At 39.1% G+C, this 18,221-nt stretch overlaps 2 annotated features.

Annotated features, from left to right (window-relative positions):
- Positions 2,453–2,954: an enhancer, noted in NCBI's record as "NANOG hESC enhancer chr9:118617928-118618429 (GRCh37/hg19 assembly coordinates)". NCBI's record gives its function as "activates a minimal SCP1, AML or CMV promoter by ChIP-STARR-seq in naive and primed H9 embryonic stem cells {active_cell/tissue: H9 hESC(naive and primed)}" and the evidence as "EXISTENCE:reporter gene assay evidence [ECO:0000049][PMID:30033119]".
- Positions 13,514–14,496: an enhancer, noted in NCBI's record as "OCT4-NANOG-H3K27ac hESC enhancer chr9:118606386-118607368 (GRCh37/hg19 assembly coordinates)". NCBI's record gives its function as "activates a minimal SCP1, AML or CMV promoter by ChIP-STARR-seq in naive and primed H9 embryonic stem cells {active_cell/tissue: H9 hESC(naive and primed)}" and the evidence as "EXISTENCE:reporter gene assay evidence [ECO:0000049][PMID:30033119]".

The following is an 18,221-nucleotide window of genomic DNA, read 5'->3' as shown; positions in this document are numbered from 1 at the left end:
AATAACATCTCATGCCAGTTAGAATAGCAATTATTAAAAAGTAAGGAAGCAACAGATGCTGAAGGGGATGTGGAGAAATAGGAATGCTTTTACACTGTTGGTGGGAGTATAAATTCGTTCAACCATTGTGGAAGGCAGTGTGGTGATTCCTCAAGGATCTAGAACTAGAAATACCATTTGACCCAGCAGTCCCATTACTGGGTATATACCCAAAGGATTATAAGTCAGTCTACTATAAAGAGACATGCACACATGTTTATTGCAGCACTATTCACAATAGCAAAGACTTGGAACCAACCCAAATGCCCATCAATGTTAGACTGGATAAAGAAAATGTGGCACATACACACCATGGAGTACTATGCAGCCATAAAAAAGAATAAGTTCGTGTCCTTTGCGGGGACACGGATGAAGCTGGAAACCATCATTCTCAGCAAACTAACACAGGAACAGAAAACCAAACACCACATGTTCTCACTCATAAGTTGGAGTTGAATAATGAGAACATATGGGTACAGAGAGGGGAACATCACACACCAGGGCGTGTGGTGGGGTGGGGGATAAGGGGCGGGATAGCATTAGGAGAAATACCTAATGCAGATGACGTGTTGATGGGTGCAGCAAACCACCATGGGACATGTATACCTATGTAACAACCTATACATTCTGCACATGTATCCCAGAACTTAAAGTATAGTTAAAAAAAAAAAAAAAAAAAAAAAAAAAAAGATGCAGTAACTAACCAGCCTAGTTTGTCTGAAACTGAGGGGTTTTCCTGCATGAGGGACTTCCAGGGCTAAAACCTAGACAGACCCAGGGAAACATGACAGATTTATTTAAGCATAAAAACACACAGGATTTTAAAGACAAAATATGAAAAAATATAAGATATTACCTTCGTATTTTTATGTTAATGATATTGAATAATATTTTAGACATTGAGCAAATAAAATATATCATTAAAACTATTTCATTGGTTTCCTTTTACTTTATTTTAAGGCAGCTGCTAAAAACGTTGAAACATTACATGTGGCTCACATTATATTTCTACAGAGGTAGTCTAGTATTTAGGCCACTTTGAGTGATTTTATCTATCTATCTATCAACTATCTATCTATGCATTTACTGTTAGCACTCAAAGTTTAATGCCTGGAATTACAAAATCCTTGAGGAGATTTCACAAATCTTAACGCATTTTATATCCCCAGAGCTATTATTTGAATGTTTCTCCCCAAAAGCATGTGCTGGAAACTTAATCCTCAGTGCAACAGTATTGGGAGGTGGAGCCTAATGCAAGATGCGAATGGATTAGTGCTGATTATAATAGCATTGGAGTCTGCAAATTCAATCTCTTGGTTTCAATCTCCTATTCTTTGTCCTCCAACCATGAGATGACATAGCAAGAAGCCCTATGTCAAATACAAGCTCCTTAAATCTTGGATTTTCAAGACTCGGAATCATGAGACACTAAATTTTTGTTCACTATAAATTGTTTGATCTCAGTATTTTGTTATAGTAGCACAAAATGGACCGACACCAGTGTCTAACAATTAATACTGTCCATAACTGTCATCTTTTGAGGACTTGCTATATTCTAGGCACAATAGTTTCCTAAATTCCTAAATTCTATGTACCCAAATAGATCTCAACCTCTAAAATAGCCCACTGACACAGATAACTTCATGATACTCCACTTTACATGTAAGAAAACTGAGGTACATAATGGAAAAATAACTCGCCAATGTCCATCTTCCTAGTCAGTGATAGAGCCCAGGTCCCCAACTCTGAAAGATAATTCTTACCAAGATGATTTCAACACAGGTGTGGTCACCTGGGATCTGCATTGACAACTATGGGACTGGAGTTTATATTAACACACAGGAGTAAGAACAAAGAGTGTTGGGTCATCTCGGCAGGTTTTTAAACAAATAAATTACAATAATCAAGGTAATTGACATCTTTTTCTTTTTACTGTGAGTTTACACTTAGTGCTTGCCACAACTTCGCTTTTATCTTGGGCAGATGTTGATCTTTCCAATACATTGCTGCCTCCTGGCTCAGGGTTTGCTGCCATCAAGAGCAATAACAGTTAATATGTTCCTGAAACATAATAGATGCCAAAACTGTGCTATGTGCTAAGCCTGTATTGTTTTATCATAACTTAAGCCTTATGAATAAAGATATTATTATAAGCTCCCTTTAATAGATGAGAACATTGAGGCAAAAACTTGAGCAATTTATCAAAAATGATATCTTTCTGGGTAGTTCCAGAATGTTAATCTGGTTTCATCTGTTTCCAGAAAAGAAACTTTCTGTCCTTTGATATACTGAAAATGTAACAGATGATCTCAAGATTCTGGCCCCAGTGAATCTGAATGTTGTTTAACACAGAACAGCACAACGTTAGCTGTATAAAATTGTATCTTTTGGAGGGATGTCACCAATAATTTGAGGTTCACACTCTACTAATTTCCTATCACTGCTAAAACAAATTATCACAAACTTGGTGGCTCCAAATAACACACATTTATTCTGTGTAGTTATGAATGTCAGAAACCCAAATTCAGTTTCACTGAGTCCAAACATAGGTGTCAGCATGGTCCTTCTCCCTGGGGAAGCTCTGGGGGAAAAATCATTTTCCTTGGTCTTTTCAGCTTCTAGAGCTGCATTCCTTGCATTCCTTGGCCTTTTGCCCCTTTATCTTTAGAGCAAGCAGCTTAGCATCTTCAAATTGCTCTATTTTGTCATCACATCACCTTCTCTCCTGTGTTTGTAGTCAAATTTCCCTACACCTCCCTATTATAAGGACACTTGTGATTACATTTAGACCCCACTGAGATAATACAGGATAAAATAATCTACCCATTTCAAGACTCTTAACTGGTTAACTCTTAACCCCATTTGCACCATCCCTGTAACTATATAAGGTTACATTCACAGGTTCTAGGGATTAGGCCAAGGACATATTGGGGAAGCCATCACTCAGCCTAAAAACACTACTTATTTCTGCATGTCCTTGATTCTCACAACAGTCATAAAAGTGAGCACAGATGAGTCTTTTAGAAAAGTCTACATTCTAAATAGCTGCACACAAGTGCATTAACATGTCTAAAATATTGCTCAAAACCTATGTAAAATTAAGTTTCACAGGAAAACTGTAGACGTTGACAATATTAATTCTAAATCTTCTTATTTCTTGTTAACTCTCTTAAAAATATATCCAAAGATGTTTGCATTTTGTCTTTCTTTATCATAGAATGTTTGTAAAATTTTAGTAGTTTCAATACTTAATATGACATAAACTAATAAAAAAGGATAGATGAGACTAAAAAGAGTTTATGATGCTGTTTTTATCTGCTTGTGGTGGGTACAGTCAATCTGCTTTTGTTCTCATGAGCAGCTTTATTAAAATCTATAAACACTTACAATTTGAAATTTTTTAAGTAGAAGAGCTTCTGTACTTACTTATAACAGTAAATTTATAAGACATTTTTGAAGAGATACAGACTGCTTATAATATGTGAGATCTCATTAGTTAAACAAATATTATTTATGCTTGCAATCTAATGAGAAATGTATAATTTATCTTAAATCATCTTGCTTCCATACAATTTATACATACTTTAGAGTGCATTTATGCCACACGGTTCTCATAGATATCTTTAAGATAGGTAGAACAGATATAACCTCAAATTTGCAAAAAAAAAAAAAAAAAGGCGAATAGATATAATCTCAACTTTGCAAAAAAAAAAAAAAAAAAGCCTACTGAGAAACTGAGATCAGGTTAGTTCTCATCTGAGATATATGAGCTAATTACACCTAGAGAGAGACCAGAACACAGATAGATGTCAACTATCTTCCTACTGAAGTTGTACTGATGTGGTTTTATTACACATTTCCTCCAGAGTAACTTAAATATTCTATTTGCTTGCTTTGAAGAAACTGACACTTTTTAAAAATTTAGTATGTTGGATTTACTTTTATGACTGAAATTGATTACAAATTCCTTTTTTTTTTTTTTTTTACAAATTTTACTTTAGATTCAGGGGGTACATGTACATGTGCAGGTTTTTTACCTCGGTATATTGTGTGATGCTGAGGTTTGGGGTATGAATGAATAGTACCCAGTGGGTAGTTTTCCAGCTCTTGCCTCCTGTCTCTCCTCACTTTAGTAGTCTCCAATTTCCATTGTGGCCATCTTTATACCCATGGATACTCAATGTCTAACTCCCACTTATAAGTCAGAACACGTTATATTTGGTTTTCTGTTCCTGTGTTAATTTGCTTAGAATAATGTCCTCCAGCTGCAACCATGTTGCTGCAAATGACAATATTGTTCTTTTTATGGGTGTGTAGTATTCTGTGGTATATATGTACTGCATTTTCTTTATCCAGCCTACCATTGATGAGCACCTAGGTTGATTCCATGTCTTTGCTATTGTGAATAGAACTGTGATGAACATGCGAGTACATGTATCCATTTGGTAGAATAATTCGTTTTTCTTTTGGATGTATGCCCAGTAATGGGATTGCTGGGTTGAGTGGTAGTTCTGTTTGAGAAATCTCCAAACTGCTTTCCACTGGGGATGAACTAATTTATATTCCCACTAACAGTGTATAAGTATTCCCTTTTCTCCACAGCTCACTAGTGTCTATATTTTTTGATATTTTAATAATAGTCATTCTGACTAGTGTGGGATGGTGTATCATTGTGATTTTGATTCACATTCCTCTGATGATTAGTGATATGGTACATTTTATCATGTTTACTGGCTGTTCATATGTTTTCTTTTGAAAAGTATACCTTCATGTCTTCTGCCCATTTTTAAATAAAGTTGTTTTTGGCTTGTTGAGTTTTTTAAATTCCTTATAAATTCTGGATATTAGATCTTTGTCAGATGCTTAGTTTGTGAATGTTTTCTCCCATTCTGTAGGTTATCTGTTTATGCTGTTGACAGTTTCTTTTGTTGCACAGAAACTCTTTAATTAGGTCCCCTTTGTCAATTTTTGTTTTTGTTAGAATTGCTTTTGAGAACTTACTCATAAATTATTTCCCAAGGCTTATGTATAGAATGGTGTTTCCTAGGTTTTCTTCTAGAATTCTTATATTTTAAAGTCTTACATTTACATATTTAATGGATCTTTGGTTAATTTTTGTATATGATGACAGGCCGGGGTCCAATTTTGTTCTTCTGCAAATGAGTAGCCAAATAATCCCAGCACCATTTATTGAATGGGGAGTCCTTTCACCATTGCTCATTTTTTGTTGTCTTTGTTGAAGATCAGATGGCTATAGGTGTGCAGTTTTATTTCTGGGTTCTCTATTTTGTTCCATTGGTCTTTGTGTCTGTTTTTGTACCAGTACCATGATGTTTTGGTTACTGTAGCCTTATAGTATAGTTTTAAATAAGGCCACATTATGCCTCTGGCTTTGTTCTTTTTGTTTAGGATTGCTTTGGATATTCAGGCTCTTTATGGTTTTATATGAATTTTGGAATAGTATTTTTCTAGTTTTGTGAAAAATGACATTGGTAGTTTGATAATAATAGCATTGAATTTGTAGATTGCTTTGGGCAATATGGCCATTTTAATGATATTGAGTCTTCCAATCCATGAGCATGGAATGTTTTTCCATTTGTTTGCATCACTTACAATTTCTTTGAGCAGTGCTTTGTAGTCCTCCTTATAGAGATCTTTCACCTTGTTGGCTACATGTATTCCTAGGTATGTGTGTGTGTATTGTAAATGAGATTGCATTCTTGATTTGGCTCTCAGCTTGAACATTATCGGTGTATAGACATGCTACTGATTTTTATTTTCGATTTTTAAAAATTTTTGTGGATACCTAGTATTTGATAGCACAACAGGGTGACTATAGTCAATACTAATTTAATTATACATTTAAAAATAATGAAAAGAATGTAATTGGATTGCTTGTAATACAAAGCATAAGTGCTTGAAAGGATGGATACCCAATTTTCCATGATGTGATTATTATGTTTTGCATGCTTGTATCCAAATATTTTATGTACCCCAGAAATGCTATTGATTTTTGTACACTGATTTTGTGTTTTGAAATTTTACTAAAGTTGATAAATTTTATTATTAGACAGATGGAGAAACAAAGGCACAATGAATTCAATGTGTTCAACACAGATATTTGTCTGTTTGTATCTTTATATTTTCATGGACTCAACTGATTTAAACATCACCTTAAGAAGTCTTCTTGTTCAAGATTTTGTTTCATCAAACTTATAGTATTATACATTATGTGTTTATATGCATGTGTATATGTATAAACAAATTATATATATGTACAAATAAATTATCTCTCTCTACATATAAATATACTGTGTTTCTTATCTGTGAACTATGTTAGAATATAAGTTCCATGAATGCAATGATTTTTGTATCTTTAATTTAATAATTTATTGCAAGTGCCTAGATGAACTGGATCCATAATAGGTACTAAATAAAAATTTGTTGAACAAGTAAATTAAGTCAAATTCTTTTTCAAATAAATGAGTGTGGCTTTGATAAGAATATTAATTATAAAAAAGTCTCTTCTCTTAAATGACAACTTTCGTATAATTTATTCTCATTGTGCAAAGGAGAGAACTGAAGCTCATTAAAACACAGAAATGAGGCCAGGCATGGTGGCTCATGCCTGTAATCCCAGCACTTTGGAAGGCTGAGGCAGGCAGATCACAAGGTCAGGCATTCGAGACCAGCCTGACAAACATGGTGAAACCCCATCTCTACTAAAAATGCAAAAATAAGCCAGGCGTGGTGGCGTGCACCTGTAATCCCCACTACTCGGGAGGCTGAGACAGGAGAATCCCTTGAACCCGGGAGGTGGAGGTTGCAGTGAGCTGAGATCCTGTCACTTCACTACAGTCTGGGTGACAGAGCAAGGTTCCGTTTCAAAAAAAAAACAAAAACAAAAACAAACAAAAAAACAGAAATGAGATGAACTCACCATGGCCACTCAATAGTTGGCATTTAATGTTATATTTGTATATAAATATAAATGATCCCTTCTACCTCCACCCTATTCGGTTAATAGATAATCACATATGTAGAAGTGTCTTTTTGGCCCTTATGCAGGATTCTTGCTTCCATTGAGATCTAAGAGATAAAAGATACAGGTAGTCTGGGGGCTTAATTTTGACCAACAGTACTGGATGGGAATTTGTATTGATATTTACCACAGAATAGTAGGAACTCCCAAATGCTCAGGATTACCCCCATCTCCATTAGTCCAGCATTTTTCCTTCATGCTAAACTGTTCAGATTCTTCTTTGAGAATTACTTGAAAGAGAACAGAGACAATTCAGCCACCTCTCATTTCCACCCTGCTTGTTTAGCTGAAATGAGTCTCAATCTTAGACACTAATTCCTATTTCTCAGGAAGAACAGAATGAAATGCTCTGTTTGCCAACAGTGTCCACAGTGATTAATCTGTACTCATCTTGTGGTTATGTCTGGAGAAAAGCATGAAGCCATATTTGCATAATTGTTTATAAACTCATCCTACTCCTTGGTGGGTGTGTATTTACCCCACAAGCTGCACTCAGCTGAGGTTAATACTCTCCAGAGTAACAGAAGAAGAGCTGCAATCATTTTAGTAGAGCAATTGTGTTCCTTAAGGGGCATCAGAAAGACCTAACTCTTTCACTTGACTGCTCTCTTAGCAAAGATCATTGTTAAGGTGATTTGGTTGATGAAGAAAACTGACATTTATTGAATTCCTAAGGATTTAACAAATTCATTTTGCATTCAACAACAAGAAAAAAAGTAAAGCAGTTATTACATGTCTTGTACTAGACAGGAAGCTGTAGCTCAAGAAGGTTAAATGTGTGGTCAATATCAAACAGCTACTATGTGTTGAACCAAGACTTGAGTTCAGATCAAATTCTAAAATGTTTTAGCTACATCCCAGTGCCCATCTGTTGTGTGCGTGTATGTGTTTGTCTCTGTGTGTGTGTTTGTGTGTGTGTGTGTGTGTGTGTGTGTGTGTGTGTTTTCTAAACCTATTCCTGCTTTTAAAGAAGGGAAGAGGGTTTGAAGGGATTATTATGTGTAGTCTCTGCCTAAGAGTTTGTTTACAAAATAAATAATCAATAAACATAGGATTGAAACTTTTTATAAAGGAAGTTCAAATTTTTGGGGGGTACACACATTTATTAAGTATTCAGTGTTTCTTCTATACATTTTCTACAATACACTAGCAGCAATTGTCATCTCTCCATGCTGTTTTGGGGAGTATTTGGGTTCTTTGGGATTGGAACACAAACAAACAAAACAAAACAAATACAAAAAGTATTTTTACTCTGTCTTAGATGCACCAAGCAGGGGAGAAATTAGTCAGCTGGAACTCAGCTGTTGATGCTTTGGCTAATAGTCTACAAACATGCCAAAAATATTCTTCCTTTTCAGAAAACTGTTAGCTAAGATCATGCAAAAGCCTGTAAGAAAAGTCGAGAAATTTGTATAGTTCTCACTCTCAAGTCAAGCCTGGAAAATGGCTTGCCCCAGTGGCTGGAAGCCAGCGAGTGTGATTATGTTGGAATCAGAGATGAAGAGAGAAAGACATCTGAGCCCACATTTCTTTCATTAAACACACCAGTTCTTCTGCCAGGATCATGGAGTTATTGGATTTGACCATGAGGAGGCATAACGAAACCCAAACCACAGGAAACAACATTATTGAATAGCTACTCTACCACATCCTGTAATACAAATATAACCAACCTCACCTATAACTATATTAAGCCCCCACAACATCCACACCAACAAGCATGTAAACAACAACAAAATAGTAAGACAGATAAATGAGGTTAATGAGAGTTGTTATAAAGAAAATTAAATAGAGTGATGCCACAGTAACTTAGGGTGGGGTAAAGGTTACTTTAGCTAGACTGGCCTTGGGAAAACCCTCTCCCTATATGTAATATATAAACTTGAATGATGAAAAGGAGCTATCCATCAAATATTCTGGGAAAAGAATATCCTACTAGAGCCTTTGTATGTGCAAAAATCCTGAGTTGAATATAAGTGTAGTATATGTGAGAAACAAAAGTAGGACCATTGTAATAAACAGAGAGAACGATAATAGGTAGGTGCTGAGAGGAGGGATCATGAAAGGCTTGGGAGGTTACGGTTCTTACTTTGAATGTACTTTAGGTACACTGGGATATTGTTAGATAGATTTAAACAAAGGAGTTATAGGACATAATTTATACTTTAAAAATGCATTGCTGAATGGAAAATGTAGTAAAGTATAGCAAGAGGAAAAATAGAGGACAAGTGTCTATGAGCAGTAGAAAGAAAACATTTACGGGACTTAGACTGTCATGGGTAGGGGGAGAGTGAGGCTGTTGACTAAATGAGAAGTGAAGGATTTACAGTTGTACTCCATGGAAGTAGAACATGTCAGAGGAGCCTCTGGATTTCTTGATGCCATTACTTTTTATTACATGACATGAAACATTTGTGCCACGGCACAGCTGTGCCTTGAACCCAGGAATGAATTCACATGGAATTTTAATGATTACACACTAATGTGGCTGGCAGTGTCTGTGACCATACACATGGAAAACAGGAGAGAGAGAGATGAAAAGAGTGAAGTAGGAGAAAATGTCAGCAACTGCTTTTAGTATTGAAAGAGTTTTAGGATCAAGTATTGATGTGAAGTCCTTGGAGAGCCACAGAAAAATCAAAAGCAAGACAGGATGGAAAGATAGAGAAGAAGGCATTAAAAAAGCAAAAATGGAAGACATAAGGATAGAAAGAGGGATTGAAGAAACAAAGAAGAACAAAGATGTATGTGATAGGGGGCATGGTAGAGACCTAAAGCCACAAACAGAAATTCCTTTCCAAATCTAGAATAACATACTTCAGAGGAACAGCAGACCTAAGAGTTTGGAACACTAATAATGAGAATCATTATTTTCCACATACCTTGCATATGAAAGGCACTATATTAATTGCTTTACGAGCTGCGTGGGGAAACAGACTTTGAGAGGTAATTCAACTTATCCAAACCCTACAACCACTTATTTGCAAATTCAAGATTCCAATCCAGAGCTATAGAATCCCAAACCACTTATCTCACTATAAATTAGCTTTATTTATTTTTGAATTGTTCATAAATAGCATCATATAGTGTGAATCTTTTTCTGGTGCCTGGTGTATTTCTTCAACATTTTGAGATTCATCAATGTTTTTGCATACTCCTTTTCATTGTTATAAAATATTTCATGACTATAACACAGCTTAGTGTTGATGAACACATATTTCCATTTTTTAAATTATTGTTATAGGCATTGAAGATAAGAACGCTCCTGAACATACCTTTTTTTTTTTTTTTTTTTTTAAGACACATTCTCACTCTGCTGCCCAGGCTGGAGTGCAGTGACGCGATCGATCTTGGCTTACTGCAATCTCCGCCTCCTGGGTTCAAGCAATTCTCGTGCCTCAGCCTCTTGAGTAGCTGGATTAAAGGCATGCTACACCACACCCAGGTAATTTTGTTGTATTTTTAGTAGACACAGGGCTTCACCATGTTGGACAAGCTGGTCTCAAACTCCTGACCTCAAGTGATCCGCCCTCCTCGGTCTCCCAAAGTGCATACATCTTTTAATACACATTTTCACTCATGTCTATTGGTATATATTTAGTAGTGGAATTGCTTCATCATATGGTATACATATTTTCTGCTATTGGAGATAATGCCAAAGAATGTTCCAAAGTAGTTGTACCAAATCCCTTTATTCATAGGAATGGAAAGAGGGAGACTCTTGAGGGGGAGGAACTTGCCAAAGAAGAGGGAGCTGAGCCTGCCCTAGAACCCAGGCTGCCAGCTCTCCTAAGACATGTGCCCCTCCCAGAACAATGGTCTACTCCCCTACCCTAAATCATTCACTTCATAACATTCCCATTCATTTCTCTCATTGGTCTTCTATGTAAAATGCCTAAAATGTATTCATTCCTCTTCTCTGCATATCCAGCAGAAAAGTTTTCTAAGTAGAATTAATTTTAAAATAACAAAACAAAACAGGGCAACCATTTGTGGAAAGGCTGTCTGATGGGAAAACCAGACAGCTACATCCATGGATTTTCAGTGTACCTTTGAGTCAGCTGGGATTCCTTAGTGAGTTTTGTTGCAAAGCTGAGTCATTGGCTTTTTACCACACGTACAAACAAGCATCACTGTATTTAAGAAAGAGCAGCAGCATTTTCCAAAAAATATATTTTCCCCTCACTCTCTTTTTCCTGGACATCATGATTTCTGAAATCACCTCAAAGTAAGAGAAGCTGCCAATTTCACCAATTGCCATAACAAGCTAAACTTTTTAAAAACACATTATGATATAACAAATATGCATATTTTAAAGCTTTACAAAAAAGAACAGAGCACAGTGAACAATTTCACTTCACAGTGTTTCATTAATTATGAAGCAAACAGATATGTGAGATCCAAAGGGTGCATGTGTGTGTGTCCATTTTGGAAACCTATTAGGAGTTATTTACTATGAAAAATCCATATAAAGCATGTTGGTTTCATGAACAGAGATCAATTTTGTAGGATCCTCACCCCTTCTCAGTGTCTGATGTTTTAATTTTTCTTTCTATTAATAAGTCCATGTGTTATTCAGCTTTGATTATAATCACTTAATAAAAACCTTGTCAAGTTGCTTCCCCCCTCTCTACATCTCTAACAATCCATCCATCCTTTTCTATCCAGGAAATTCTGTAATTCTTAGTTGGCAAAACTTATCTAATGCCTATCACATTTATTCAGTTGTGTCATTCATTCATTCAACAAACATTTGTTGAGTTCCTGCTTTGTGCCAAAGCCCTAGACTCACCACTAGCACTATTATATTGGAATTATATTTTTTGTGAGTTTCCTTCAAAAGAGAACATTGTCGAGACCCTACTCTCTGTGACTGCATAGTGAATGGCTTCTGAAATAATTCCTACATGTGTTAACTAATCAGAGAACTGTATTAAGACAATTTTTTGAAGTAAGTTAGAGACTCAGCGAGAAAGATGGCCACAATCGACTAGCATGTCTACTAAATGTGCATGAGTAGATGAAATATGCATTTGCATTATTGTCTAATTGAATTCTTGTAAAGAAGGATTCAAACAACACAGCAGATGGAGAGAGAAAAGTCACAATTGGGCAGTTTAGCAAGCAAGGGTCAGACTGCATGTGTCTGCAAATACAGAAAAACTCCCAGCATGTGAGGCTACTGAGTGGTATTTGGAAGGTTTTGGGACATGATCCCATCACTCTTCTAATTCTCAAGAAAAAGACAACACTTTGGCAAACACCCTGTTAAGCAGCACATTGCAAAATACAAATGCATTAGAGTTAAACAAGAAAACCAAAAGGTGAGACTTGAATGTCTGTCTGTCTGTCTGTGACACCTTGGACAAGTCACTCCTCACTTCCCTGGAATCTGTCTTCCCTTTTGCTAAAAGAGGGATAGGATCTTGATGAACTCTAAGGATGCATGGAAAAACTTGCCTGCTTCTTTCACACATCTTGCTAAATAATTGGAATGAGTGCTTTGCTTAAGATACCTTGAGAGCAAGCAGAATTCCCTCTAAGAGATAATCTGAAGAAGTCCATGTGGGCCCCTTTTGGGTGGAGTGGCCAGGCTAGTTCAGCAGATGGACACAGATTGCAGTCAGAGGCTGGTGAATCATCTGCAACACACTTTAGTCATTCAGGTGCATTTGCATTGAACTCTGTGGCTGGGAATAGGCCCCAGACTCTGTGTTTGTTTATTTCCATGGATGTCCCAGAGCTTGTTGTGAAATACGAAATTTATAAATTGTTATGTTCTATTGCTGACAGCTTTCGCCCTTCTCTTGATGATCAGCAGCCTCTTCGTCCCTTCCTCCACTCTAGAGGGAGGGAATTTGTTTGCCTGAACAATGACCAGGTGTCCTGCCCTGAATTGGGAACTTAATATTGATTATCTTATATTATCCTCATAAAAAACCTGTGAAATAGGTATGATGATCCTAGTATTTAGATGTAAGAAGAGAGGCCAAGAAAGTGTAAAAAGATTGGCAAAGTTCCACAGTTAGGAAGACTCAGAGGACTTTCTTTTTCAAAGCCATGTTCTACATTATACAGCTTGTATCCTAGAAAAGAAGGTTCAGTCACACATTATTTCACTTGGATCATTTAGCTCCGCATAACAACCTTCTGAAATTGGGAAACAACATGGAGATATGTCTGAAGTCTGGAGAAATTGCAATAAAAGTTAATATTCACGTTTCTTTTCATTCTGTCCCTTTTTGGGAAAGGAGAGCATATAAATTTATGTTTGTAACTTCGGGTCAAAATTATAGTGGGGCTTCAAAACTTTTTGTGGAACTGAGCTAAATTAGTTTTGTTTTTAAAAAGAAGATTATTTCAGAGTTTGTTTATAATGATTATTGCGGCAGATTTAAATTATGGTAATGTATAAAAGTGAGGATATGCTTAGATGATAATTCAGGGAAAAATGAAAAAAGACATACAAAGTAATAATATCATTACTATAACAAAATTTTTGAAAAAAATCAGCAATCTTACTTTTCTAATTGTTTATAGGAATTAATTGAGATTGTGAAAGAAAAATAAAATCTCAGAACCCCAAACTCACTGTCAGGCCTCTGAGCCCAAGCCAAGCCATCACATCCCCTGTGACTTGCACATATATGCCCAGATGGCCTGAAGTAACTGAAGAATCACAAAAGAAGTGAATATGCCCTGCCCCACCTTAACTGATGACATTCCACCACAAAAGAAGTGTAAATGGCTGGTCCTTGCTTTAAGGGATGACATTACCTTGTGAAAGTCCTTTTCCTGGCTCATCCTGGCTCAAAAAGCACCCCCACTGAGCACCTTGCATCCCCTACTCCTGCCCGCCAGAGAACAAACCCCCTTTGACTGTAATTTTCCTTTACCTACCCAAATCCTATAAAACGGCCCCACCCTTATCTCCCTTCACTGACTCTCTTTTCGCATTCAGCCCGCCTGCACCCAGGTGAAATAAACAGCCATGTTGCTCACACAAAGCCTGTTTGGTGGTCTCTTCACACGGAAGCGCATGAAATTTGGTGCTGTGACTCGGATCGGGGGACCTCCCTTGGGAGATCAATCCCCTGTCCTCCTGTTCTTTGCTCCGTGAGAAATATCTACCTACAACCTCAGATCCTCAGACCAACCAGCCCAAGGAACATCTCACTAATTTTAAATCAGGTAAGCGGCCTCTTCTTACTCTCTTCTCCAACTTCCCTCACTGTCCCTCAACCACTTTCTTCTTTCCACTCTTCAATCTCTCCTTTCTCTTAATTTCAATTCCTTTCATTTTCTGGGAGAGACAAAGGAGACACGTTTTATCTGTGGACCCAAAACTCCGGCGCCGGTCACGGACTGGGATGGCAGCCTTCCCTTGGTGTTTAATCATTGCAGGGATGCCTCTCTGATTGTTCACCCACGTTTCAAAGGTGTCAGAGCACGCAGGGACGCCTGCCTTGGTCCTTCACCCTTAGCGGCAAGTCCTGCTTTTCTGGGGAAGGGGCAAGTACCCCAACCCCTTCTCTCCTTGTCTCTACCCCTTCTCTGCTTTCCTGGGGCAGGGGCAAGTACCCCTCAACCCCTTCTCCTTCACCCTTAGCGGCAAGTCCCGCTTTCCTAGGGGGCAAGAACCCCCCAATCGCTTATATCCACACCCCAACCTCTTATCTCTGTGCCCCAATCCCTTATTTCCGCACCCTGACCTCTTATCTCTGTACCCCAATCCCTTATTTCCGTGCCCCAACCCCTTCTCTGCTTTTCTGGAGGGCAAGAACCCTCCACCCCTTCTCTCTGTCTCTACTCTTTTCTCTGGGCTTGCCTCCTTCACTATGGGTAAGCTTCCACCTTCCATTCCTCCTTCTTCTCCCTTAGCCTGTGTTCTCAAAAACTTCAAACCTCTTCAACTCACACCTGACCTAAAATCTAAATGCCTTTTCTTCTGCAATGCCGCTTGACCCCAGTACAAACTTGACAGTAGTTCCAAATAGCCAGAAAATGGCACTTTGAATTTTTCCATCCTGCAAAATCTAAGTAATTCTTGTCGTAAAATAGGCAAACGGTCTGAGGTGCCTGACGTCCAGGCATTCTTTTACACATCAGTCCCTTCCTAGTCTCTGTGCCCAGTGCAACTCGTCCCAAATCTTCCTTCTTTCCCTCCTGCCTGTCCCCTCAGTCCCAACCCCAAGCATCGCTGAGTCTTTCTAATCTTCCTTTTCTACAGACCCATCTGACCTCTCCCTTCCTCCCCAGGCTGCTCCTCGCCAGGCCGAGCTAGGTCCCAATGCTTCCTCAGCCTCCGCTCCTCCACCCTATAATCTTTTTATCGCCTCCCCTCCTCACACCTGGTCCGGCTTACAGTTTCGTTCGGTGACTAGCCCTCCCCCACCTGCCCAGCAATTTACTCTTAAAAAGGTGGCTGGAGCCAAAGGCATAGTCAAGGTTAATGCTCCTTTTTCTTTATCCCAAATCAGATAGCGTTTAGGCTCTTTTTCATCAAATATAAAAATCCAGCCCAGTTCATGACTTGTTTGGCAGCAACCCTGAGACACTTTATAGCCCTAGACCCTAAAAAGTCAAAAGGCCGTCTTATTCTCAAAATACATTTTATTACCCAATCTGCTCCCGACATTAAATAAAACTCCAAAAATTAAATTCCGGCCCTCAAACCCCACAACACGATTTAATTAACCTCGCCTTCAAGGTGTACAATAATAGAAAAAAGTTGCAATTCCTTGCCTCCACTGTGAGACAAACCCCAGCCACATCTCCAGCACACAAGAACTTCCAAACGCCTGAACCGCAGCAGCCAGGCGTTCCTCCAGAACCTCCTCCCACAGGAGCTTGCTACACTTGCCGGAAATCTGGCCACTGGGCCAAGGAATGCCCGCTGCCCGGGATTCCTCCTAAGCCGCGTCCCATCTGTGTGGGACCCCACTGAAAATCAGACTGTTCAACTCACCTGGCAGCCACTCCCAGAGCCCCAGGAACTCTGGCCCAAGGCTCTCTGACTGACTCCTTCCCAGATCTTCTCGGCTTAGCGGCTGAAGACTGACACTGCCCGATCGCCTCGGGAGCCCCCTAGACCATCATGGACGCCGAGCTTCCAGTAACTCTCACAGTGGAAGGTAAGCCCGTCCCCTTCTTAATCAATATGGAGGCTACCCACTCCACATTACCTTCTTTTCAAGGGCCTGTTTCCCTTCCCTCCATAACTGTTGTGGGTATTGACGGCCAGGCTTCTAAACCTCTTAAAACTCCCCAACTCTGGTGCCAACTTAGACAATACTCTTTGAAGCACTCCTTTTTAGTTATCCCCACCTGCCCAGTTCCCTTATTAGGCTGAGACACTTTAACTAAATTATCTGCTTCCCTGACGATTCCTGGACTACAGCTGTATCTCATTGCCGTCCTCCTTCCCAATCCAAAGCCTCCTTTGCGTCCTCCTCTTGTATCTCCCCACCTTAACCCACAAGTATAAGATACCTCTACTCCTTCCTTGGCGACCGATCATGCACCCCTTACCATCTCATTAAAACCTCATCACCCTTACCCCACTCAATGCCAATATCCCATCCCACAGCACGCTTTAAAAAGATTAAAGCCTGTTATCACTCGCCTGCTACAGCATGGCCTTTTAAAGCCTATAAACTCTCCTTACAATTCCCCCATTTTACCTGTCCTAAAACCAGACAAGCCTTACAAGTTAGTTCAGGATCTGCGCCTTATCAACCAAATTGTTTTGCCTATCCACCCCGTGGTGCCAAACCCATATACTCTCCTATCCTCAATACCTGCCTCTATAACCCATTATTCTGTTCTGGATCTCAAACATGCTTTCTTTACTATTCCTTTGCACCCTTAATCCCAGCCTCTCTTCACTTTCACTTGGACTGACCCTGACACCCATCAAGCTCAGCAAATTACCTAGGCTGTACTGCCGCAAAGCTTCACAGACAGCCCCCATTACTTCAATCAAGACCAAATTTCTTCCTCATCTGTTACCTATCTCGGCATAATTCTCATAAAAACACACGTGCTCTCCCTGCCAATCGTGTCCAACTGATCTCTCAAACCCCAGCACCTTCTACAAAACAACAACTCCTTTCCTTCCTAGGCATGGTTAGCGTGGTCAGAATTCTTACACAAGAGCCAGGACCACACCCTGTAGCCTTTCTGTCCAAACAACTTGACCTTACTGTTTTAGCCTAGCCCTCATGTCTGCGTGCAGCGGCTGCCGCTGCATTAATACTTTTAGAGGCCCTCAAAATCACAAACTATGCTCAACTCACTCTCTACAGTTCTCATAACTTCCAAAATCGATTTTCTTCCTCATACCTGATGCATATACTGTCTGCTTCCCGGCTCCTTCAGCTATACTCACTCTTTGTTGAGTCTCCCACAATTACCGTTGTTCCTGGCCCAGACTTCAATCCGGCCTCCCACATTATTCCTGATACCACACCTGACCCCCATGACTGTATCTCTCTGATCCACCTGACATTCACCCCATTTCCCCAAATTTCCTTCTTTCCTGTTCCTCACCCTGATCACGCTTGATTTATTGATGGCGGTGCCACCAGGCCTAATCGCCACACAAAAGCAAAGGCAGGTTATGCTATAGTACAAGCCACTAGCCCGCCTCTTAGAACCTCTCATTTCCTTTCCATCGTGGAAATCTATCCTCAAGGAAATAACTTCTCAGTGTTCCATCTGCTATTATACTACTACTCCTCAGGGATTATTCAGGCCCCCTCCCTTCTCTAGACATCAAGCTCGAGGATTTGCCCCACCCAGGACTGGCAAATTAGCTTTACTCAACATGCTCGGAGTCAGATAACTAAAATACCTCTTAGTCTAGGTAGATACTTTCACTGGATAGGTAGAGGCCTTTCCTACAGGGTCTGAGAAGGCCACCGCAGTCATTTCTTCCCTTCTGTCAGACATAATTCCTCAGTTTAGCCTTCCCACCTCAATACAGTCTGATAACAGACGAGCCTTTATTAGTCAAATCAACCAAGCAGTTTTTCAGGCTGCTAGTATTCAGTGAAGCCTTTATATCCCTTACGGTCCTCCGTCTTCAAGAAAAGTAGAATGGACTAAAGGTCTTTTAAAAACACACCTCACCAAGCTC

Source organism: Homo sapiens, chromosome 9 (assembly GCF_000001405.40).
Source record: "Homo sapiens chromosome 9, GRCh38.p14 Primary Assembly".
In the NCBI taxonomy this organism is placed as follows: Eukaryota; Metazoa; Chordata; class Mammalia; order Primates; family Hominidae; genus Homo; species Homo sapiens.
Note: the sequence above shows the minus strand (reverse complement) of the source record. Positions and strands in the feature narration are given on the sequence as shown.